Source organism: Homo sapiens, chromosome 1, assembly GCF_000001405.40.
Source record: "Homo sapiens chromosome 1, GRCh38.p14 Primary Assembly".
Classification (NCBI taxonomy): Eukaryota; Metazoa; Chordata; class Mammalia; order Primates; family Hominidae; genus Homo; species Homo sapiens.
The window spans coordinates 100,223,850-100,248,295 of record NC_000001.11 but is presented as its reverse complement, the minus strand read 5'-3'; the positions used below and the strand labels follow the sequence as shown (position 1 = coordinate 100,248,295).

Below are 24,446 nucleotides of genomic sequence, written 5' to 3'. Positions count from 1 at the left end.
GTCGTCATTTCCCTAGTAGTTCATTTGTCCTTTTCCTACTGTATACAAGAGGGCTGCTACGACTTCTTCTTTTATGTTGAAGGCAGGAAGGTGGAAGAGGAGGAGGTTCCAGTCTCACTGGCCAGAACTGTGTTACATGGCCCCGGCTAGCACAAGGGAGCTTAGAAAAACTTGTCTTTTTTTTTTTTTTTTTTGAAATGGAGTCTCTCTCTGTCACCCAGGCTGGAGTACAGTGGTGCGATCTTGGCTCACTGCAACCCCTGCCTCCCAGTTTCAAGCGATTCTTTTGCCTCAGCCTCCCAAATATCTGGGACTACAGGCACACGCCACCATGCCCAGCTAATTTTTGTATTTTTAGTAGAGACGAGGTTTCACCATGATGGCCAGGCTGGTCTCAAACTCCTGACCTCAAGTGATCCGCCTGCCTTGGCCTCCCAAAGTGCTGGGATTACAGGATGAGCCACCATGCCCAGCAGAAAAGCTTGTCTTTAGTCTTCTCACAGTGTCTGCCGTAAAGCTTCAAAGCAGGTCAGACTCTCCAGCCTCTAGAACTGAACCCTCAAACCAGTTTCTCTTAATTTTTTTTTTTTTTTTTTTTGAGAAGAGTCTTGATCTGTTGCCCAGGCTGGAGTGCAGTGGTGCAATCTCGGCTTACTGCAACCTCCACCTCCTGGGTTCAAGTGATTTTCCTGCCTCAGCCTCCCAAGTAGCTGGCACTACAGGCGCGAACCACCATGCCTGGCTAATTTTTGTATTTTTAGTAGAGACGGGGTTTTGCCATGTTGGCCAGGCTGGTCTTGAATTCCTGACCTCAGGTGATCCTCCTGCCTTGGCCTCCCAAAGTGCTGGGATTACAGGCGTAAGCCACTGCCCCTGGCCCAGTTTCTCTTGATTTGAGCCTGTAATTCTCTCTGAAGAAATCTAGTCATGATTTTTCCACCCTGCCCTCAACTGGAGGTGTCTTGGCCCTTCTTAACTGGATTATATGCCTCCAGTGGTCTTGTAGTTTTTCCAACCCATTCTCCATAGTGTAGCCAGAGTGATCTTATAAAGTAAGAGACATTTGATAATATCATTTTCTTGTTTAAAACTGCCTTCAGCAAAATGTCCAAAATTCAAATGACTATGAGGCAATTTATGATCTGGACCTTTCCAGTCTCTTAGATCTCATTCCTTACCAAAACCTACCCATCCCAACCCCAACTCTGACACTTCCCCACCCTTATTCCACACTAAACTACACTAGAAGTCTGTTGAACAACTTGAGTTATTTGCACACACACTGTGCTTTCTGTCTCAACTCCAGACCTTTGCACATGTATTTCCTCTGCTTTAAAGACTCTTGCCTTACTCCACTGTGGCCTTATCTGCAACATACCTCATCCCCGGGGTTACACCTACTCATCCGTCAGGTCTTACTTCAACATAACTTTCTCCAGCTAGGTTCCCTTAACACACTCTATTTCCTTCATTATAGCACGTGTTATAATCACCGGTTTACTTGTCTTTACCTTTCACTGTACTGTGCATTCTATAAGGGAAGAAATTGCATCTGTTTTGTTCTCTGTATAATCCCAAGTGCCTGGCACATTGTAGGTGTGCATAAATATTTTTTAAATGACTCAGTAAAAAAAAAAGTCAGGTTTGTAAACTCTTCTAAAAAGTTGTAAGCAAAAACAGTTCTTACCCCCGTAGTAAATTATTAAAATAGCCTTATAATGTTGTGTTTTACATTTCCCTAGGACATAATGCATTTGACTCTTGATTAATCATGCCATTTGGAATTTTTCTGTTGTGTCTGTCTTCCTGTAGTAAAGTGTAAGCAATTTGAATTCAGGAACTATATATTGCATCTTATTTAGCTTTGCATTTCCAAGTCCAGTACAATGTCTGACTTTAGGAGTGCTCAACAGCTGCCTATTGAATTATTATTAAATATTTCCTTAATACGCTACTTTGGTGAACAGTTTCATTTCCCTTTATGTTCTTCTGTCCTGGTTGTGATATTGAATTATTAATTTTTTATTTTTATTTTTTTTGAGACGGCGTCTCACTCTGTCACCAGGCTGGAGTGCAGTGGTGCAATCTCAGCTCACTGCAACCTCCGCCTCCCGGGTTCAAGCGATTCTCCTGCCTCAGCCTCCCAAGTAACTGGGCAGGCACGCGCCACCATGCCCAGCTAATTTTTGTATTTTTAATAGAGACGGGGTTTCGCTGTGTTGGCCAGGATGGTCTTGATCTCTTGACCTCGTGATCCACCTGCCTCAGTCTCCCAAAGTGCTGGGATTACAGGCATGAGCCACTGCACCTGGCCTAATTTTTTATTTTATTTATTATTATTTTTGAGACAAGTTCTTGCTCTGTTGCCCAGGCTGGAGTGTGGTGGCATGATCTTGGCTCACTGCAGTCTTGACCTCCTGGGCTCAAGTGGTCCTCCTTCCTCAGCCTCCCAAGTAGCTGGGACTACAGGCATTCACCACCACAGCCAACTAATTATTTTGATTTTTAGTAGACAAAGTCTCAATGCATTGCCCAGTATGGTCTTGAACTCCTGGGCTCCAGTGATCCTTCTGCTTTGGACTCCCAAAATGTTGGGATTACAGGCATGAGTCACTGCACCTGGCTGAATTATTTTTAAAATCAAGGAAAGACCTATTTTAGTCAAATAATTGCATTAAGACTTAGACTACACGTATAGTTGTTCAACCAGGATGTATTTGAGAATGAAAATGGTGTTATTAATAATTGCCTTGAATCACTAGAGGTGAATTGGGTGTCACCTCAGGCAAATTGGTACAGATGGTCCCCATAGAACTAGGTGTCTTTAGTATTGTTCATAGATGAATTTAGAATTGCTTCAAATATAAAATATATAAAACTGATAATTCCATAAGCATGCCTTTTTAAAATTGGAGGTTTAAAGCCTTATGCTTAATTTACTAGTCTAGCTGGGTGTGGTGGCTCACACCTGTAATCCTAGCATTCTGGGAGACTGAGACAGGAGGATTGCTTCAGCCCAGGAGTTTAAGACCATCCTGGGCAAAAAAGTGAGACCCTGTCTTTATTTTATTATTATTATTATTATTTGAGATGGGATTACAGGTGTGAGCCACTGCACCCAGCCAACCCTGTCTTTGAAGAAAATTAAAAAATATAATTTACTAGTCTAATAGTCTGTTTCTAGAAAAAAAATTTAGAATTCTAGCTTGAAAAATTATTTCTTCTCCTCTTTCCTGTTGCCTGTTAATCCATCTATTCAGCAACTTCACAGTGTTTTTAGCCTTCTCCTCAGAGCCATTCAATTACTATTATATTAATCATATACTGCCTATGGTACTTTTGTTGCTTTTTTTCTTTTTCTACTATTAATTACCTCAGTCAGGAGCCTGTTGCTTTGTGTCTCAAATACTATACAGTACTCTCCCCTTCTTATCTGTGGTCTCAGTTAGCCATGATCTACTGTAGTCTGAAAATAGGTGAGCACAGTACAGTAAGATATTTTGAGAGAGAGACCACATTCACAAAACCTTTATTACAGTATATTATTATAATTTTTCTATTTTATTATCAGTTATTATTATTACTGTCTTACTGTGTCTGATTTATAAATTAAACTTTATCATAGGTATGTATATATAGGAAAAACACGGTATATGTAGAATATGTAGGATTCAGTACTGTCCATGGTTTTAGGCACCCACCGGGGGATCTTGAACGTGTCCACTGCACATAAGGAGATAAGAGAGGAATACGGTAATAGTTATTTTTTTAAAAAAATCCTTTTTTGATAATTTTGGTATGTAATAGTTTCTTGACTTCTCCCTTTCTCTCCAGATTTTATCTGTTATAATCTATTCAATAAACCACTACTAATTTCCTAATCCTTTTTCTTCAATAACCCATAATGTATGAGTTCAAACTCCTTATACTGACATTATAGTCATCAACCATTTCCTCCTTGAGCTGTTTCCATTGCTCTCTTTTATACCTTTGGTCAAGCCAAATCAAGCCGCTCAATGTCCCAGCAGATATGCTAAGTCAATTTCTGCTGTAGTTTATTTATGCTGTTTCCTCTGCCTTAAAAGTGCCCTTCTGCTCTTTTATTATGTATGCTTATTATGCACAGTGCAGCTTAAATCTTCCTCCAAGAAGCCTTCCCAGGTCACACTAACGTGAAAAAAAAGCCCACCAGACCCCTCTACTTAAACTCCTTTTTTTTTTTTTTTTTTTTTGAGATAGAATTTTGCTCTTGTTGCCTAGGCTGGAGTGCAATGAGATTACAGCTATGAACCACTGTGCCCGGCCTGCTTAAACTCCTTTATCACGTACTGCCTATGTCTCTTTTTTTTTTTTTTCGTAAACCTATGGACTATATTAAAGAAGCCTATGCCTCTTATTACAAAAAGTTAGAGCATGCATGTCCATGCTTGAGTGTGTTTGTATGTGTGTTTATTTTCTCACATACGTTGTAAACTCTTTGAAATTAGGGATTATTTCTCCTATTTCTAGGGTCTTTGACATCAAATTTATTTAGCTTCAGAGCTCGATTGTTCCACTTATTTGCTGTGTGACCTTGGACAAATTACTTCACCTTTCCCATCAGTTTCCCGTGTGTTGAAGAGGGCTAACGTGTATGTTCCACAGGGAAATTGTAAATGTAAAGATGATGTCTGGGCCGGGCACCATGGCTCATGGCCTGTAATCCTAGTACTTTGAGAGGCCAAGGTGGGCGGATTGCCTGAGCTGAGGAGGTCGAGAGCACCCTGGGCAACATAATGAAACCCCGTCTCTACTAAAATACACACAAAAAAAGTTTAGCTGGACATGATGGCACATGCCTGTAGTCCCAGCTACTTGGGAGGCTGAGGCACGAGAATCGCATGAACCTGGGAGGCGGAGGTTGCAGTAAGCTGAGATCGTGCCACTGCACTCCAGCCTGGGTGACAGAGTGAAACTCCATCTCAAAAAAAAAAGAAAAAAAGATGATGTCTAAAAAGGCTATTTTTCTTTTTTTCTTTCTTTTTTTTTTTTTTTTGGAGACAAGGTCTCTCTGTCACCTAGGCTGAAGTGCAGTGGTGTGATCTTGGCTCATTGCAACCTCCGCCTCCCAGGTTCAAGTGATTCTTGTGCCTCAGCCTCCCAAGTAGCTGGGACTACGTGTGCCACCATGTCCAGCTGATTTTTGTATTTTTAGTAGAGAGGGGGTCTCGTCATGTTGACCAGGCTGGTCTCAAACTCTTGACCTCAAGCAATCCACTCACCTCAGCCTCCCAAAGTGATGGGATTACAGGCCAGAGCCACCATGCCTGGCCTGTCTGAAAAGAAAGTACTCAGCACATGGGAGGCACTCAATAAATGTTAAGCGTGGTGGTTTATGCTGCCCCGACCCATGAATAGTTCAATACGAGTTGTGTTGTTGTTGAAGGTAAGACCTTCTAGTAGTTTAATTTTCTTTCAAATGTTTTACAAATATGAACAATTTTATTTAAATTAAGGTGAATCTATATACTTCAAAACTTTCCTTTATTGTCCCTAAGTTTTATGTCTGATGAAACAGAGGTTGATTCACTCCTTTGATTTTATTGTTGACCAAGAGTCAGGATTATGGGAGCTGAAGGAGAAAGCAAGGACAAACAAAATGGAAATGTTTGGGAAAGAGAATTCTTTTATTGTCTTCTGGTTTTAAGTTATCAATTTTAATTATTTTAGTTAGGCTTTATATTTCCTGAATATTAATGTTAGTAAAAATAAAATGTTGATATTATAAAGACTAGTCGATTTAGGGTGATCTCTAAAGTTAAGATGAATGATTTAAGATTATTTATGTTTTAGGAAAGGGATCTTCAGTTTTTCTTTGCCTTCAGAAATCAGTAATAGTTTGAAATTTAAAGTAAAAAAATAAGAATTTAAATGTATTGTTCTTGTCAGTAAACCAAACTTTTACTTTTATATTTGCTATCAGAAAAAAACAAAAATTCTAGTTTATAAATATGTATTAAAACATGACTGTACTATATGATGTTTATTATAACATAGCCTTTAAAAGTTAAGAGCTAATCACCACTAATGTACATGATTTTTTTTTTTAAGTAAAAGTGACTCTGTTACATACATGAAAAAGTTTCACTTATCAGTATTCTTATACTAAGAAGGTTAGAAATTTCTGCAGAGAAGTAAGCTCAGGGCTTTAAAATTAAATAAGTAAATAAATTCTGTAGTTTATGTTTACAGTATGATGTAGTTAAGTATTAATAGCATTGAAATTTTTTTTTTTTTGAGATGGAGTCTTGCTCTGTCACCAGGCTGGAGTGCAGTGGCTCGATCCCGGCTCACTGCAACCTCTGCCTCCCGCATTCAAGCGATTCTCCTGCCTCAGCCTCCCAAGTAGCTGGGACTACAGGCGCATGCCACCAAGCCCAGCTAATTCTTTTGTATTGTTAGTAGAGACAGGGTTTCACCATATCGGCCAGGCTGGTCTCTTTAACTCCCTACCTCGTGATCTGCCCACCTTGGCCTCCCAAAGTGCTGGGATTACAGGCGTGAGCCACCGCGCCTGGCCTAATGGCATTGAAATATTAACTTTCCAAATAAGATATTATGGCCTGGCATGGTGGCTCGCACCTGTAATTCTAGCACTTTGGGAGGCTGAGGTGGGAGGATTGCTTGAGCTCAGGACTTCAAGTCCAGCCTGGGCAACATACTGAGACCTTGTCTCTACAAATAATAAACAAAATTAATTGGGTGGGGTAGCATGCGCCTGTGGTCCCAGATACTTGGAAGGCTGAGGCAGGAGGACCCCTTGAGCCTAGAAGGTCAAGGCTTCAGTGAACTGTGATCGCACCACTGCACTCCAGCCTGGGCAACAGAGTGAGACCATGTCTCAAATACACACACACACACACACACACACACACACACACACACACACAATACCTTTCAGACACTTAGGTTTTGATATATAGAGTTGAATACATTTGGGCCTACTTATTTCTATAAGAGATTTTAAAATAATATTATACTAAGGTACTATGTAAAATAGTTAATTCTAAAGAGTCATCTATAAGTTACTATAAGTAAACTTTGGGGTATCATACTATACAAGTTTTTCATTGTTTTTAGATGCTAACTATTACTTTAGAATTCTTTAGTAGTTTTAGTTCAGGAAGTCCAATGACTTAAGCATACCTATAAGCTGATGTATTTATACAGAATACACTGTTAAAATGTCTTTACTTTCAGAAGGAATTTTGGGTAAGGATCATAAATGTAACAAATCTAAATCTAAGGATATAATATTTCTATTGTGACAATGGTTCTACTTTTAGAATGGAATTGAAATTCAATTTATACTTAGAGATAAGCCGGTATGGTTGTTTATAAATGCTTTTACTTTTTGTTTTCTCATCTGTAGATTTGTGTTCGCTATTTTCAAACATGTGGTAATGTTCATGTTTTGAAGCCAAATTATGTGTGTTTCTTTGGTTATCCTTCATTCAAGTATAGTCATCCACATCACTTCCTGAAAACAACTGCTGGTAAGTATGATTTCAAAATAACGTGTATAAAATAATGTTTTGTACCTCATTCAGTAATATTTTTTAGTAGTTGATTGAGACTTTTTAAACAAAAAAAAGTTGACTCTGTATTTCTAGCCGGGCCCTTCCCATCTCCCCACATTTTTCCAGTTCTCACTTTCTTTTTTCTCATCCCTCTCTTTTACATACTTTCCTTAACACTGGCACCCCTTTTTAAAAAAAATTTTTTTTTAGAGACAGGATCTCACTCAGTTGCCCAGATTGGAGTGCAGTGGTGTAATCACAGCTCACTATAACCTGAACTCCTGGGCTCAAGTGATCCTTCTGCCTCAGCTTCTCAAAGAGCTGGGATTACAGGCATTAACTTATCTCGCCCAGCACTTGTGTCTTTATAATATTGGGAATGGGTTGTGTTGGGCCATCTATTTATCATCTGGCTCATCTAAGTGCAATAGTCAGCATTGATATGACTTTCTCAGTCAAGGTAAATTGTTGACTTAATAGAGGTGTCTTTGTGTTGGCATACACATTGTGGTATTGTTTGTTGAAAGAAGCACTTAATCTGTCAAGTGAACATGGTGTGATGAAACCAGCCTGATTTAGTACTAAATAGAAAGTTCCCTGACTTTCACCATTTACTTACTTTTTCCCCAGCTTTTTCTACCCTCTGTAAAGAACTTGAAGGATTAAGTATTAGATTTGGCAAGGGCACAAGAACTGTTTTTTTTCCTGATGTTCTATTTAGAACCCTGATAAAGAACCCTAGACTTTTGTTACACTATTAAGTTTTTGACAGATACATGGGAGCTTAGTTTGTGCTGGGAATGAAAAATGGGGGAATTCCAGGCAGACCCCAAGTCAGCCTTTCCATGCTCTTTTTTTTTTTTTTTTTTTTTTTTTTTTTTTTTTGAGCTCTGTTGCTCAGGCTGGAGTGCAGTGGCACAATCATAGCTCACTGTAACCTCAAACTCATGGGCTCAAATGATCCTCCTGCCTCAACCTCCTGAGTAGCTGGGACTACAGGTGTGCATCACTACACCTGGCTAATTTATTTATTTATCAGGATGTTGTCACAGTGCCCAGGCTGGTCTAAAACTCCTGGATTCAAGAGATCCTCCTGCCTCTGCCTCCCGAAGGGCTGGGATTACAGGCATGAGCCCTGCACCGGCCTTCCATGCCTTTTCTTTTGCTTTCTTTTTTTTTTTTGAGACAGGGTCTCACCTCTCAAAGTGATGGGATTACAGGTGTGAGCCACTGTTCCCAGCCATCTTCCATGTTTTTTCTATGTCATCCTCCACTATAGCCTAAGACATGTAAACTTTACCTTCACTACTTTTACAAAAATTTCCATTTTTTAAAGTTGATCTTTTTTTGTTACTTCCCAGAGAAAATAGAGGTCATTCAAGTAAATACTTCAACTTCCTGGTCCAGTCTGTAAACACTTAGGAACTTTGGGTTGCTGGATACACCAGTTCCAGGCTACTTGGATTCCTGGTCTACAAATTACTAGCAGTGTAACTTTAAGCAAGTTTCACCATCTGGGAAATGGGAGTAATCATAGTATTTAGCTAATTGTATTCTTGTGAGAATTCATTCATTCAACAATTAATATTTATTGATCACCTGTGTTCCAAGGCACTGCTCTAGGTGCTTGGGATATATCAGTACACAAAACAAAGATCCTTATACTTGGGTGGATTAAATAAATTAGAATATATAAAGTACTTACATACTCTAATACTGCTTAGATATACTAATACTGCTTACATATACTAATACTGCTTTCTCTGGATACTTATTAAGGTTTCTCTTCTTCTGCTTCTCTTTTAAACTTCAGTTTTTCATAGGATCCCATCCTTTGCCCTCTCTTCTTGTACTACATCTACACACATGCCTTCAACTCTCACCTCATTGAAGACTTGTGAATCTGTAGCTGTAGCTCACATCTCTCACCAACTCCATTCCAATGTCCCCAAAACTCAGTCTTCTACAAATCTCTTTTCCTTCTGATATTTCCTAACTCAGTAAGTCATTAAGCTAGACTAGCCTAGCTTAACCATTGATATGAGACCCTGCCTCTACAAAAAATTTTAAAAAGTCAGCTGAGCATGGTGGTCCACACCTGTAGTCCCAGCCACTCAGGAGTCTGAGGTAGGAGGATCACCTGAGCCCCAGAGTTTGAGGCTGCAGTGAGCTGTGATCATGCCACTGCCCTCCAGCCTGGGCAACAGAGTTAGGCCATGTCTAAGAAGAAAAGAAAAGAAGAGAAGAGAAGAAAAGAGAAGAAGGAGGAGGAGAAGGAGAAGGAAGGAAGGGGAGGGGAGGGGAAATAAAAGAAAGAAGAAGAGAAGGAGGAGGAGGAAGAGGAGGAAGGGACGGGACTGGAAGGGACGTGATGAGACAGGACGGGAAGGGAAGGGATGGGGAGGGGAGGGGAGGGAAGCTAGAAACCTAGAGCCATCAGGAGGGAGGGAAGAATCAAGGAAAGGAAGGGAGGAAAGGAAGGGAGGAAAGGAAGTGAGGGAAGGAAGGGAGGAAAGGAAGCGAGGGAGGAAGGAGGGAAGGAAGGAAGGAGGGAAGGAAGGAAGCGAGGGAGGAAGGAGGGAAAGAAGGAAGGAGGGAAGGAAGGAAGGAAACCTAGAGTCATCTTGAGGGAGGGAGGGAGGAAGGAAAGCTAGAAACCTGGAGTCATCCTGACTCTAGTCTCACATCAAACTGATTATCAAAACCTATTAATTTTACATCTTACATTTTTCTTAAATCTGCCTTCTTTTCAAATGGCTTTGAAAAGTATATAAATATATAAATCACATACTTCTGTGCTGGGCAGAGTGGCTCACACCTGTAATCCCAGCACTTTGGGAAGCTGAGGCAGGAGGCTTGCTTGAGGCCAGGAGTTCAAGACCAGCCTGGGCCACAGAAAAGTGAGACCTCACCTCTATAAAAAATTTTTTTTAATTACTTGGGTGTGGTGGTATGGACTTGTAGTCAGCTGCTAGTCCTAGCTGAGGTGGGAGGATCACTTGAGCCCAGGAACTTGAAGTTATCATGAGCTGATTGTGCCACTGCACTCCAGCCTGGGCAACAGAGTGAGACCCTGTCTCTAAAAAAATAATAAATTAATAAATTCTATACTTCTGCTTCTTACCTGAAGTAGCCTCCTGCTTCCCCTGCCTTGTTTTGCCTCTGCCACCCACTCCCCGACCCCATCTACCACACTCCTGCCAGAGAAATTTTTTCTAAACTTGTAGACCTAAAGTTGCAGATCTGATATTATAAATAGGATTCCATATCAGTTAATTACTGCTGAGTAACAAACAATCCCACAACTTAGTGGCTTAAAGCAACAAGGACTGATCATTTCTCAGGATTCTGCAGGTTGGCTGGGTGATTTCCTTGCTGGTTACGCCCAGGCTCCCTAATATGGCTGTATTCAGCTAGAGGATCATATGGGCTGGAAAGTCCAAGATGGTCTCACTCATGTGTCTGACCATTCATGCTGGGTTTCCGATGGGGCAACTCATTTCTCCTTTTCCTGATGTCTCATCCTCCAGTAGACTAGATCAACTTCCTTGCATGAGGATTTTAGGGCAGCATTCCAAAAGGGAGAAGGGAGAAGCTGTGCGGACTTTTGAGGCCTAGCTTCATGAACCTTCACACTTCACTTCTGTTATATTCTATTTGTCAAAGCAAGTCACAGCCCAGCACAGATTTAAGAACTGGTGAAATAGACTCGGCCTCCTGATGGGAACAGCTGCAAAGAATTTATGACCATGTTAATTTACCACTGGGTCCTGATCACCTTTAGGATGAAGTTCAAATATTTTAGCATGGTACACAAAGTCTTTTAAGTCTGGGCTGATTTCTTGCCACATACCGCATCTTCGGCTATAGAGAACTGTTCTTTAACCTTGCCATGAACCATCACATTTTCATGCTCTTGCTGTTCCTTGCATATTGCTTTGTATAGAGGTGCCATAGTATATTTTCTTGTTTTTGTGTTACTTAGATTGATTTCCAGTTCTTCATTATGACCCTATAGTAACCATTTTTTAGCAAGTGGAATTACTTATGGAATCAAGAATGTTGATTTAAAAAAAATTTTTTTAAATGCTTTTGATTGTTAATGCTAAACCATTCAGAAAGTTGCCAGGTTATACTCCAATCAGCAAGCTGTGAGAGGACCCAACTTGCTAGAGAGGAAGTAAGAGGTACCTAATACCTCCATAACCAAAATGTATTTTGTATTTTTTATTACTAATTTAACTCCTCATATTTAAGAAAATTTTACAACCCTAATTAATTTGTTATATGTTTTATAAGCAAATATGGTTAACAGCAGTCTAAAGATACAGGAGCATTCCTGAATAGGTTCAGAGCCATTTGTTAACCTGGAAAAGTGGGAGGGTCCATACGTGCTTTCAAATGATCAGAAATACTTTTCTCTTTTGAGAATAATTACCATACAGTATCATTGGCATCTAAGTATTACAAAGAGGGTATAGAAGCTGGGTGTGGTGGGTGGTCCCAGCTTCCTCAGGAGATGGAGGGAGGAGGATTGCTTGAGCCCAGGAGTTTGAGGCTGTAGTATGCATTTATGCACCTGTGAATGTCTACTGTATTCCAGCCTGGGGAACATAGTGAGACTCTGTCTCCAAAAAAAAAAAGGAGGGATGGGTAGAAATTTGAAAAGGGGTAGAAAATGGAAAGAGGAAAGAGACGACTTAGGGATAAGGTGGCAGAACATAAGTTTGGACAAACAAGTTTCCATCAAGTTTGCTAGATATAGAACTGCCTGATTTTTAGCCATTAAGAATGAGAAAGAATAGTTATATAAATTCAAAAGAAATCTGTTCATGTTATTATAGTTTCATAACTTAAAACAAGGATATCTAGCTGGGTCTCTCTTTGTATATCTTTGTTCTATTTTCTATTCATTACATTGTTTCAAAATTTAATTAATTTGTTAGTAGGGCCTTTTATAGCCTTATAACAGACCATTTTGGAAGTTAGAAAATGTAAGTTCTGTGGCAGTGCCAGTAAGTCTGTGTTGTAAAATAATTTATTTAAATCTCTAATGGTTATGAATAATGGTTATGCTCTTAAAAATTATAAAATGCTGTTTTTCTGTCTGTAAGATGGAAGAATTTCTGCCTCTGCCTGAGAACATTCTCTAATTTTAGATGTGAAAGTATATATTAGTAATATGTTATATACTTAATGAGATCATTTCTCATTTGTCTTTGAAGCTCTCCGTGGACAGGTTGTTCAGTTCAAGCTCTCAGACATTGGAGAAGGGATTAGAGAAGTAACTGTTAAAGAATGGTAAGTGAATCTGAAAAAAGCTCTTAAGTAAATTTAAAAATAATTTGAGTAAAAATAACTATTTTTATTTTTATTTATTTAATGGATAGTGGGAATCCATTTAAATTGAGAAACGTCTTTATAAACACATAATGCATTTTTAAAAGCAATAAGGTAGAATTACCTTGTGTTGATGATATAGTGGTGAAGGACTTTGTCATACATCAAGGTACTTTATTTAGTGTGATTTAAAACTGTCAGGTAGTCTAAGCTCTCTTCACTGTTACGAAAATGACTTTAGTAAGAATGTAAGTATGTTTGACTTACCATTACCTGATACAGTTTACTTGTATGTTTAGAAGAGATGAAAATATTTTACCAAAAGTCATGAATCAAAAAATAAATTTTGAAACATTAAAAAATTGTCCAAAAAAGGGCCTGAAACAGACAAAAGCCTTTCATCCTCTACCCCATTTTTTTCTTTCACCTTCTGGAAAAATAGAAACACCTCTGGGTACCGAACTCAGTTTTAGAGGTTTTTAGAAGTGGCAGTTAAGATGAGTAAATAGATTACTTCCCACCTTAGATTTATACCATTAAAGATCCTTTTAAGAATCTGGTTCAACCACCTGAACATTCTTTTCTTGTACTTATTATTATTGCTTTGTAAGTTAGAAGAGAACTGTAATAACATAAACATACCTTATGGTTATGTCTCTGGTGGCACTGTGGGATTATGGAAAGAGCAATGGACTTCAAATCAGAAAAGTCTGACCTGGAAACTTATTAGCTGTCCTACCTGTGACTCACTTGGTCTCTTAATGTGTCATATGAGGATAATAGTACTTGCTCTGCCAACCTCTGGAGTGTTGAAAGGATCAAAATAATGTCATGTATAAGAAATGCATTTGATAATACCTTCTTTTCAAGACCAAGACAGTAGTAAAAAATCTTTAAAGATTTTCGACTTTTTTTTTTTTTTTGGTAGAGATGAGATCTTACTATGTTGACCATACTGGTCTTGAACTCTTGGCCTCAAGTGATCTTCCCACCTGGGCCTTCCGAAGTGTTGGGATTACAGGCATGAGCCACTGCACCCAGCTTTTTTTGATTGTTTTAAAAAACCATTTGTTAATTTCTACCTCTTATTCTCTAGACCCATATGCTTAGTATAGGGCTTACAGCTCTTGGAAGGGGAAATCATTTTATTCCTAATAAAATTCTAAAAGCTCTTTTAATGAGAAACTAATCATTTGATTAGTTTTCAGAAGTTCTTTGCGAAATATTAAGAGCTTTCTTGAATTCTGTTTTTTTTCCTAACTTCATATTGTAAAAAGTAAAGTAGAGGTTCCTCTTCAAAGACTTTCTTCCTCATTTAATTAGGAATAAATAGTAACTTCTCTTAGAAGCAAAATTTATTCAAAGACCTGTGCTAACATTCTTAAATATCTGCTAGCCGTGATAAATCAATGTACTTTATGTTCTTAGCTCCTACAATTTAGCCTAAAAATTTGCCCTGGCAGGCTTATACTGGTCCAAGCAAGCATTAGGTCGTAGGCTGTTCCTCTTCCTTATCTGAAGGTGTTTTTACCTTTCTCAGCATTCCACAAGTTACTTCCTCCTTCCTTTGTTCTCCTCTACCTTTGCCTCTTTTAAAAAGTGCTAAGTTGCTAGCCAATCAGGACAAATACAGAATGTGAGTTCCCATTCCAGCCAATGGAAATTGGACACAGCAGTAGGTTGGATGCGTCAGGTTATAAATGACCCTGTCTCCTTTGTTCCGTGTACTCTTGTGGCAAAACTGCTGGTGAGTGTACTTTTTCTGCAGGAAGTAAAAATGGCCTTGCTGAGTAAATTAAATTTATGTTCAACTGCTATTTCTTTACGGCACTGAGGAACAACCATTTCAAACTATCCATAAATAACTTAAGGAAAAAATATGTATTGCGTTGCACTTGGTAAAATGCTAAAGGGCAGAATTGTGTTCTATAAAATGAAGCCTGGGAATAGAAATTTGAATATGTAAGGAAGCATAATTTAACAGAAGTTAGTGTGGTTTTGGGTAAGGGTAAATAAAACCTCATTCTTAGAATTTGTGGGTGCATATGTATGGAAAAAGAAAAAAAATACTTAAATTTCACAAATCCTTTGACAAACTTCTAAAACAAGTTTAGATGTTATGTGTGCTTTTGTCTTAAAGTCTATTTTGTCTGATAGTATAGCCACTCTAGCTTGCTTGCTTTCTTTTTTTTTCCTTTTTTTGAGGGACAGGGTCTTGCTTTGTAGCCCAGGCTGGTCTCAAACTCCTGAGATTACAGGCGAGCCATCACACCTGGCCTTGTGTGACATATCTTTTTCAATCCTTTTACTTTTTACCATTTGTGTTGTTGAATTTAAATTATATTTCTTAGCATATAGTTGGAACATTTTTTTAGAATCTATTCTGCCAATCTTTGCCTTTTTATTGGAGTATGTAAACTTTTTACTGTGTATTTTAAAGTTATTTTCTTTGTGGTTGCCCTGAGGATTACAATTAACATGTTAATTTAAAACACTATAATTTGGATTAGTAGAAACTTAATAGAATACAAAGACTCTGCTCCAATATAGCTCTATTGTCTCTTCCTTCCTTTTGCTATTTCTGTCATACGTATTCCTGTTTTTCTTTTTTAGAATTATCATTCCATTAGCCTGGCATGGTGGCACAGGCCTGTAGTGTCAGCTACTTGGGAGGCTGAGGTGAGAGGATGGCTTGAACCCAGGATGCAGAGGTTGCAGTGAGCCGAGATTGTACCACTGCACTCCAGTCTGGGCAACCAGAGCAAGACCCTGTCTCAAAAAACAAAACAAAACAAATAATTATCATTCCACATTGAAAGTATTCCATTTTTAAACATCATAAAGCACATCAACACAGTTTTATAAGTATTGCCTTAATGTGGTTGTCTTGTAAATCAGATAGGATTTTTTTTTAAAGTTACAAACAAAAAGTTACAAATAAAACAAAATACAGATGTGGCCAGGTGTGGTGGCTCATGCCTGTTATCCCAACACTTTGGGAGGCCAAGATGGGAGGACTGCTTGAGGCCAGGAGTTCCAGACTAGCCTGGGCAACATAGCAAGACCCTGTCTCTACCAACAACAACAACAACAACAACAACAACCCAGATGCTCCTTGACTTATGATGGGGATAAGTCATAAACCCATCAAAACTAAAGTGTCTTAAGTTGAAAATGCATTTAATATACCCAGTCTATCAAACATCATAGTTTAGCCTAGCCTACCTTAAACATGCTCGAAACGCTTACCTTAGCCCACATTTGGGCAAAGTCATCTAATACAAAGTCCATTTTATAAAGAACTGTTGAATATCTTATGCAATTTATTGAATACTGAAAGTTTAAAACAGAAGAGTTGTTGCTTTTACACCATCATAAAGTTGAAAAGATATAAAAGTCAGAGACCATCTGTAGTGCCAGTTTCTCCGGGGATTTTGCTTTTTGTGGTGATCCAAACCTAGTATTCCCCTTACAGTGGCTGCAAGGCTGCTGATTTGGCTCCTGCTGCGCTAGGGAAAGGAGGATGGAAATTGGGCAAGTTAAAATACTACAAAACTCAACCATTTTTCCTGAATACATCCTTCTCAGTTGTTGCAAGCCTTTTTTTGATTTCCAAAATTCTGAAAAAATTGATTTTTAACAACTTTTGGCACTGTACTTGTTGCTCATATGGAAGAGCAGATTTTCAGATGTCTTTAATCCATCATTCTGGAAGTGAAAGTATGTGCTTTTAAAGCTGGTTTCTATGTCATGGGTGCTGTTTTATCATAGGCTGAGGACTGGTTAGGACAGGAGGACAAGAAGCAAGAATGACAACAATTATCTGTTGCTGGCAATAAGTCAGAAATAAGAACTAGAGACATTAAGAATGCCATTAGAATGAAAATTAGATGTATTATTTCAGGTTTGGTCCCATTCCTCCTGTTTTGTTTGCCAAAACGATCTAGAAAAGCCTGTAAAGTATACCTAAAATGATTATGGGATTAGAAGGACTTTATATAAGAACAGGCTAAAATAATTTTAGGAAGAAAGACTGGGAGAACTCCCATCTAAAATTCATGAAATTACAAAGGATATGTATTGAGGACATCACTTTTTAAACTTATTTCTGGAAGTATTGGGCATCCCTTAAAGTTTGGAAAAGGGTAATATAAGACAATAGAAGGAAATACCACTTTAAAAATGTGTTTTTAGAACTTGTTTTTCTGATAAATGGGTCAGACAGAAAACCTGAGAGTTTAATTAAATTTTTGGATTATAGACTGTGAATTGCTTAAAATTTTTTTGAGTGTTTCTTGCAGATACATTGAAGAGACTCTGAAAGTCATTATAGTCATCTCTGAAACATTGCTTAGTACACCATCTGAAAGTAAATGCTGGGCTAGATGAATACTGATCTAACTCAGCATGGCATTTACATCCTTAATATGATCTGTACTTATGACTGTTTCCATAAAAGTGTCTCATTTCTTTTTCTTTTAGGTATGTAAAAGAAGGAGATACAGTGTCTCAGTTTGATAGCATCTGTGAAGTTCAAAGTGATAAAGCTTCTGTTACCATCACTAGTCGTTATGATGGAGTCATTAAAAAACTCTATTATAATCTAGACGATATTGCCTATGTGGGGAAGCCATTAGTAGACATAGAAACGGAAGCTTTAAAAGGTATTGTAAGTCTGTTAATCTATTTTACCAAATTGATTATTGGTCTCTTTTTGTCATTGGGTCCCAATTAAAAGTGATCTTTGTTTTTTTGTTTTTTTTTTTTCTATTCCTATTTATTTTTAGCTCTTGAGGAAATGTAATCTTTTCAACGTGAAAAAAGGTAGCAAGTTCAACACAAAATAGAAATCTGAATTGTAGGATAAGACAAAACCAAAGGTGGGGGGGAAAAGGCAATAGCAAAAGGAAGAGATGAAATGTTGCAAAAAAGATGGAGGATGTCCCATCCTTTCTCCTCTGGGTAATGACTCAAACATTCAGGTGGCATTATACATTGTTCCACATAAGTCAGTGACGTTATTCCTTTTGGAGGGGTAAGAACGGGTGGGGATGGGCTTTTAATAACTTACAGGATTTGAGTTGGAGTTTTAGAAGCCGAAATCAGGAAAATTGAAAAGGTTCTCTGTGAGTCATGATTATCTTTTGGCCAGTTGCCATGTTAAAAATGTGTACAGTAACACTTCATTTACCTGAAGTCCTGCCTTCTCGAGATGTTAGTGTTCAAAGAGGCAACAAGCTCTCTCAGTAATTAAAGATTCAGACTATAAATACTGGCCACAAAGAACAAAAATTGGAGTATCTAAAGATGAAATCTAATATAATGGATTGCTCTGTTTGCCACTGATACAAAAAAAAAAGCACTCTTGTTGGAGATGGTTATAAACTTTTTCAAGAGAAGTTGAAGAGAAAAGAAGGAAAATTAAAATGAAAGCAAAGATACCAGCATTTAGAAGCAGCAGCAACCATGGGACTTACAAGTGATAGATGTCCTGTCAAAAGGGAATTCATCATGAGAATGTTACAGAGGAAAACTAAAACAGTTGGCAGTCCCAGTGGTGGCAGGCAGCTGGCTGGCTAACTCACAAGTTCCTTACAGCACTGTTGTGGTATACCAAAGTTTTGTCATCTAGGAATCAGTTTTGATACTAGGGGCTGCAAGAGCAATAGGTTCTGTGACAGAACTCCTAAGCCAGCATTCCCTCCTTGGAAGTGCTGAGATAAAGATATCTCACTGTAATTCAGAAGTCTAATTGAATTACAGTGTCTGGCTGACACTTAGTTCTACAGTCGGTGGAACAATAACTAATATTACAATCTTTTTTTTCCAGAATCACATGGTATAATTTATAAAACTTTTTACACTTATTATTCTGTGAAATATTCCAGTTTAGCAGATGAAGAAACTAAACCCAACTAGAAAGGTTGGACAGGCTGGGCGCAGTGGCTCACGCCTGTAATCTCAGCACTTTGGGAGGCCGAGGTGGGTGGATCACGAGGTCAAGAGATCGAGACCATCCTGGCCAACATGGTGAAACCCCATCTCTACTAAAAATACAAAAATTAGCCAGCCATGGTGGTGCGTGCCTGTAGTCCCAGCTACTCGGGAGGCTGAGGCAGGAGAATCGCTTGAACCCGGGAGGTGGAGGTTGCAGTGAGCCGAGATCGTGCCACTGCACTTCAGCCTAGGTGACAGAGCAAGACTCCATCTCTTAAAAAAAAGGAAAAAAAAGAAAGGTTGGACAATTTGCTCAATGGTTGGTGACAGGACCAAAGTTAGAACTTAGATGACCTGAGTCTTTGTCCAGAATATTTTCTATGACATGTTGCTTCTAAAAGCTAGAAGGTGATTTATTGAAGGCTTCCTACTACTTTTTATTATTATAAAAGCAGGAGGGGTGCATTGCAGAAAGTTCTAAAATACAGAAAGCCAAAACAACAACAAAAACCCTAATGTTCACAAATCACACTCAATGCATTCGTGTATATCATTCCAGATATTTTTCTAGGTCATATGTGTACATGTAGGTATTTTTTTAACCAAAATAATATATTGTATATGCTGTAGTCCAATCTGTTTGCTTTGTTCATCTATGTTTTCATGACAGTACATTTCAATTTTATTTTTTTGTTTGTTTGAGACAGAGTCTTGCTCTGTCACCCAGGCTGGAGTGCAGTGGTGCGATCTCAGCTCACTGCAACCTCCACTTCCTAGGTTCAAGCGACTCTCCCATCTCAGCCTCCTGAGTAGCTGGGACTACAGGTGTGCACCACTGTGCCTGGCTAATATTTGTATTTTTTTATAGAGATGGGATTTCACCACATTGGCCAGGCTGGTCTTGAACTCCTGACCTCAAGTGATCTGCTGGCCGCATCCTCCTGAAGTGGTGGAATTACAGGCATGAGCCACCATGCCTGGCCTATTTCCATTTTATATGATCGACAGACCATATTTAGATTTCCTGAATTATCCCCAAAATGTCCTTGATATTTCAATTGATTTTTTTTTAACTAGGATCCAATATAGGACCATACATTGCACCTAGTTGTTATATCTCTTAAGTCTCTTTTAGTCTAGTTTATCCTCCTCTACTTTTGTTTCATGACACTCATTTGAAGAGATTGCCTTTGTTTTGCAGAATGTCAAACTTTTTGGATTTGTCTTGTTGCATTGTGGTGTTATTTAACTTGTTCCTCTAGTCGTTATATTTCCTGTAAGCTGGAAGTAAGTTTTAAAGGCTGAATTCAGGCTGGGCTCAGTGGCTCACACCTGTAATTCCAGCACTTTGGGAGGCCAGGGTGGGTGAATCACTTGAGGTCAGGAGTTTGAGACCAGCCTGGCTGGCCAACATGGTGAAACCCCATGTTTACTAAAAATACAAAAATTAGCCGGGTGTGGTGGCACATGCCTGTAATCTCACCTACTCGGGAGGCTGAGACAGAATTGCTTGAACCCCAGAGGCAGAGGTTGTGGTGAGCCAAGATTGCGCCCCTGCACTCCAGCCTGGGAGACAGAGTGAGACTCTATCTTAAAAACAAACAAAAGAAAAAACAAACAAAAAATTAAAATTAAAATTAAAAATTAAAAAATAAAGGCTGAATTCAAGTTAAATATTTTGGGTGGAATACATCATAGATCATGTTTGTACTTCATGTTGCCTCACATCAGGATACACTTAACATCTGATGACTGCCATAGTGATGCTAAGTTTAAACACTGAACTAGGATAATGATACCCTTACCCCTCTATTGTGGAGTTGTGTTTTCCCCTTTTGTAACCAGAAAATTATGTATGTAGTGTTAGCTTTGACACTAAATAAGTAGGTTCTAATATAATTTGAGATCCTTCCTAAATCAATAATTGCTTTAGTGGTTGTGGAATGATGATTTTTGGATTTTGTCATTCCTTTAACATTATTAGCTGGCATTCTTCTGTAAAGTGGACCTTTCTCCTCTCATCAGTTGGGGCTATCTGTATTGGGGCTATCTGTATGCTACCTGTATGAAATACAGTTCTTACTGGAAAGAAAATAAATGCTTAATTCTTTCCCTTTGCCAGTTCTCGAAGTAAGGAGTTCCTTTAGTAGTCACTTCAAATGCTGATAGTAATTTTTCCAGCATTCTCAGTGTATGTGTGAGTGTATGGTCATATGTCGCATAACGACGTTATGGTCAACAACAGACTGCATATACAACAGTGGTCCCATAAGATTATAACACATCTTTACTATACTTCTTTTATGTTTATATATGTTTAAATACACAAATATTTACCATTGTGTTACAGTCACCTACAATATTCAGGACAATAACATGCTCCACAGGTTTGTGACCTAGGAGCAATAGGCTATTTCATATAGCCTAGGTGCGTAGTAGGCTATACCATCTAGATTTGTGTAAGTGCACACTCAAGTTTGGATAATTGTGAAATCACCTAGCAATGCATTTCTCAGAACATACTCCCATCATTAAGCAATGCATGACAGTATTTCAACTGATTTCATGTGTTTAATTAATTACAATCATTATTCTTCTCAATGCTCAAATCATTGTAGTGGTGACCCCTTCAACCTGGCTCCTATGTGTTCTATTAACATTGTCCTGTTAACTTTTAAAAGCTTCCTTGCTTTTGGCACAAAAGATGTTCTGGGATTCACCTCATACTTTTCCCACCCCATACCTGGAATCATTCATTTCTTCAGGGGCTCTTGTTCCTTTAAGTATTAGTGTAGAATGAATAAGAGGCTATAATCTGGGCGTTAGGGGTGCTTCCTATTACTTTGATTCTAAATTTCTTTTGAAAGACATTATTGGCTAGGCACAGTGGCTCACGCCAGTAATCCTAACATTTTGGGAGGCTAAGGTGGGAGAATCACTTGAGCCTGGGAGCTTGAGACTAGCCTGGGCAACATAACGAGACCCCATCTCTACAAAAAATAAAAAAAAATAGCCAGGTGTGGTGGCGTGCACCTGTGGTCCCAGCTACTTAGGAGGCTGAGGTGAGAGGATCACTTGAGCCCAGGAGGTAGAGGCTGCAGTGAGCTGTGTTAATGCCACTGCACTCTAGCCTGGGTAACAACAGGACCCTGTCTCAAAAAAAAAAAAAAAAAAAAGGCATAATTTAGAAAAATTTAAAGAAAAACAAAACAAAAATTCACCTTTAGAATTAAATGAAATAAACACAGTTTTTTTTGGATTCAGATTTAGAAAGGAAAGAGTGTTTCATTCTTGGCATAAACTGACAAGTAAGGATTCTGAACAGTACTATGGATGTCATTAAATTAGAATGTCCAAGCTGGAAACCAGATTAGATACCAATTTAAGTTATCTAAAAAAGCAAGTTATTTATATGAACAAGTAAACAATTGGAGTTTGTTATTTGTTTTGTTTTGTTTTGTTTTTTGACATGGGGTCTTGCTCTGTTGTACAAGCTAGAGTGGCACGATCATAGCTCATTATAGCCTTGAATTCCTGGGCACAAGCAGTCCTTCTGCCTTAGCTTCCCAAGTAGTTAGGACTCCATCATGCCCAGCTAATTGGCCTTCTGATTTTTTTTTTTTTTTTTTTTTTGTGAGATGGAGTCTTGCTCTGTCTCCCAGGCTGGAGTGCAGTGGCACAATCCTAGCTCACTGCAACCTCCGCCTCCTGGGTTCAAGCAATTCTCTTGCCTCAGTCACCCTAGAAGCTGGGATTCCAGGCATGTGCCACCACACCTGGCTAATTTTTGTATTTTTAGTAGAGGTGAGGTTTCACCATGTTGGCCAGGCTGGTCTTGAACTTCTGGCCTCAAGTGATCTGCCTGCCTCCGCCTCCCAAAGTGCTGGGATTATAGGTGTGAGCCACCACACCTGGTGCTGGTTTTGTTTTTAGAGTTTGTTTTGACATCTCAAGTAAGATCCAACTTAATAAGTCTGGGTATAGCAAATTATAAAATCACAGTACATTTTGTGGGGGGCCTGTGTTTTTTCTGGAGAATTTTTTTTCACAAAAATTAATATTCTCTATAACATGATAAATCTTAAAGAAATTATGCTGAGTGAAAGAAGCCAGATCCCACCACTCAAAAGAAAACATGCTATATGATTTCATTACATACAATTTTAGAAAATCCAAACTAATCTCTAATAACAGAAAACCAACGAGTGGTTGCCTGGTGACAGAGTATGGAGGGTAGGAAGGGTTGGAAAGGAGGCATTACCAAGGAATACGAGGAAACTTCTGGAAGTGATAGACATGTTCATTATCTTGATTATGGTGATGGTTTATGAGTATATACATATTTCAAAGCCTATCAGATTATATGTGTGTGTGTGTGTGTGTGTGTGTGTGTGTGTGTGTGTGTGTATATATATATTTTTTTTTTTTTTTTTTTTTGGGGGGAGACGGAGTCTCACTCTGTCGCCAGGCTGGAGTGCAGTGGCATGATGTCGGCTCACTGCGACCTCCAACTCCCTGGTTTAAGCGAATCTCCTGCCTCAGCCTCCTGAGTAGCTGGGATTACAGGCAGGCGTGCACCACCACACCCAGCTAATTTTCATATTTTTAGTAGAGACGGGGTTTCACCATGTTGGCCAGGATGGTCTTGATCTCCTGACCTTATGATCTGCCCACCTCGGCCTCCCAAAGTGCTGGGATTACAGGCGTGAGCTACCATGCCCAGCCTCAGATTTTATATTTTATGTATGTGCAGTTTATTGTGTGTCAGCTCTATCTCAGTAAAGCTTAGAACAAAATTAATGGCATTGGATAGGTTATATTTACAGTAAAAATTATCTGACAGTATTCTTCATAGAGAACTGATAATTTGCTAGCCATTCTGTTTCATTTGCCATTCATAATATGCTTTAAACAATTATCTTGCATGCTAGTTTTATTTCACATCTGTACCTTTTTGCTTTTATATTTGGACTTGTTTTTTATATTTTTATTGTAAGAATAAACTATGAAGCATAAGCCCATGTATCAAATAAGCAGGCCTATAGAAATTAAATTCAGCTTAATGAGAGAAATTTATATATGCTTCATTTTAATTGTGGAAATAAGAAAGATTTCTAAATATTTTATGTATCTTTTCTTAAGCAAGAATTTGTAGTAATACTGAATTTATGTTTTTCCTGTCTTAATGCTAGTAAAACCAATTATATAAAAGACGAACACAAAGTCTTCTAGAAGTATAAATTATATTATTAACATTTTACAGGTGGAAAATTATTATAGCATAGAGCCATGAAGGGTAGAAGAGATCAAGACTAGACATCTTAATAGTAGTATTGGAAATTAAGTCCTATCTTGTAATGCTAATTATATTCTATAGTACTGTCTTTTGTAACATAGTAGTAGTCTGCTTTTCAAAGCTAGAGGGTCATGATAATTTTGGTGAGGGAAACTGTATTTGTGACCTCCAAGTCCTATCTATGAGTCCTTTGACTGTAACAGACCTCTACTTCAAAACAGTTTATTGGACTCAGGTATGCCAACTTGTATCTGTGACATATAAAAAGGCATATACTATTAAAAAAAATGACAAGTTGAAATCCAGTTACTTAA

General features: G+C 38.5%; 1 protein-coding gene across 9 annotated transcripts in view, besides 1 other annotated feature; it reads left to right on the top strand.

Annotated features, from left to right (window-relative positions):
• Positions 1-24,446, top strand: part of DBT (dihydrolipoamide branched chain transacylase E2) — a 62,916-nt gene that overhangs the window by 1,539 nt on the left and 36,931 nt on the right. For 6 of the 9 annotated variants that reach the window (NR_174365.1, NR_174364.1, NR_174366.1 and 3 more), the window contains 3 exons: positions 7,412-7,535; positions 12,785-12,860; positions 17,382-17,563. Coding sequence is in view for 1 of the 9 variants with exons in the window: in NM_001918.5 (NP_001909.4) it covers positions 7,412-7,535; positions 12,785-12,860; positions 17,382-17,563 (382 nt within the window). In the remaining 8 variants the exon portion in view is untranslated. Of the gene's footprint in view, positions 1-3,693; positions 3,754-7,411; positions 7,536-12,784; positions 12,861-17,381; positions 17,564-24,446 lie in introns of all 9 variants that reach the window. The other 3 variants (NM_001399972.1, XM_017000468.3, NR_174363.1) reach the window with 2 other exon arrangements.
• Positions 4,803-5,036: a silencer, noted in NCBI's record as "fragment chr1:100708816-100709049 (GRCh37/hg19 assembly coordinates)". NCBI's record gives its function as "represses an EF-1alpha promoter that drives an FKBP-Casp9 reporter gene in an ReSE screen in HepG2 liver carcinoma cells {active_cell/tissue: HepG2}" and the evidence as "EXISTENCE:reporter gene assay evidence [ECO:0000049][PMID:32094911]".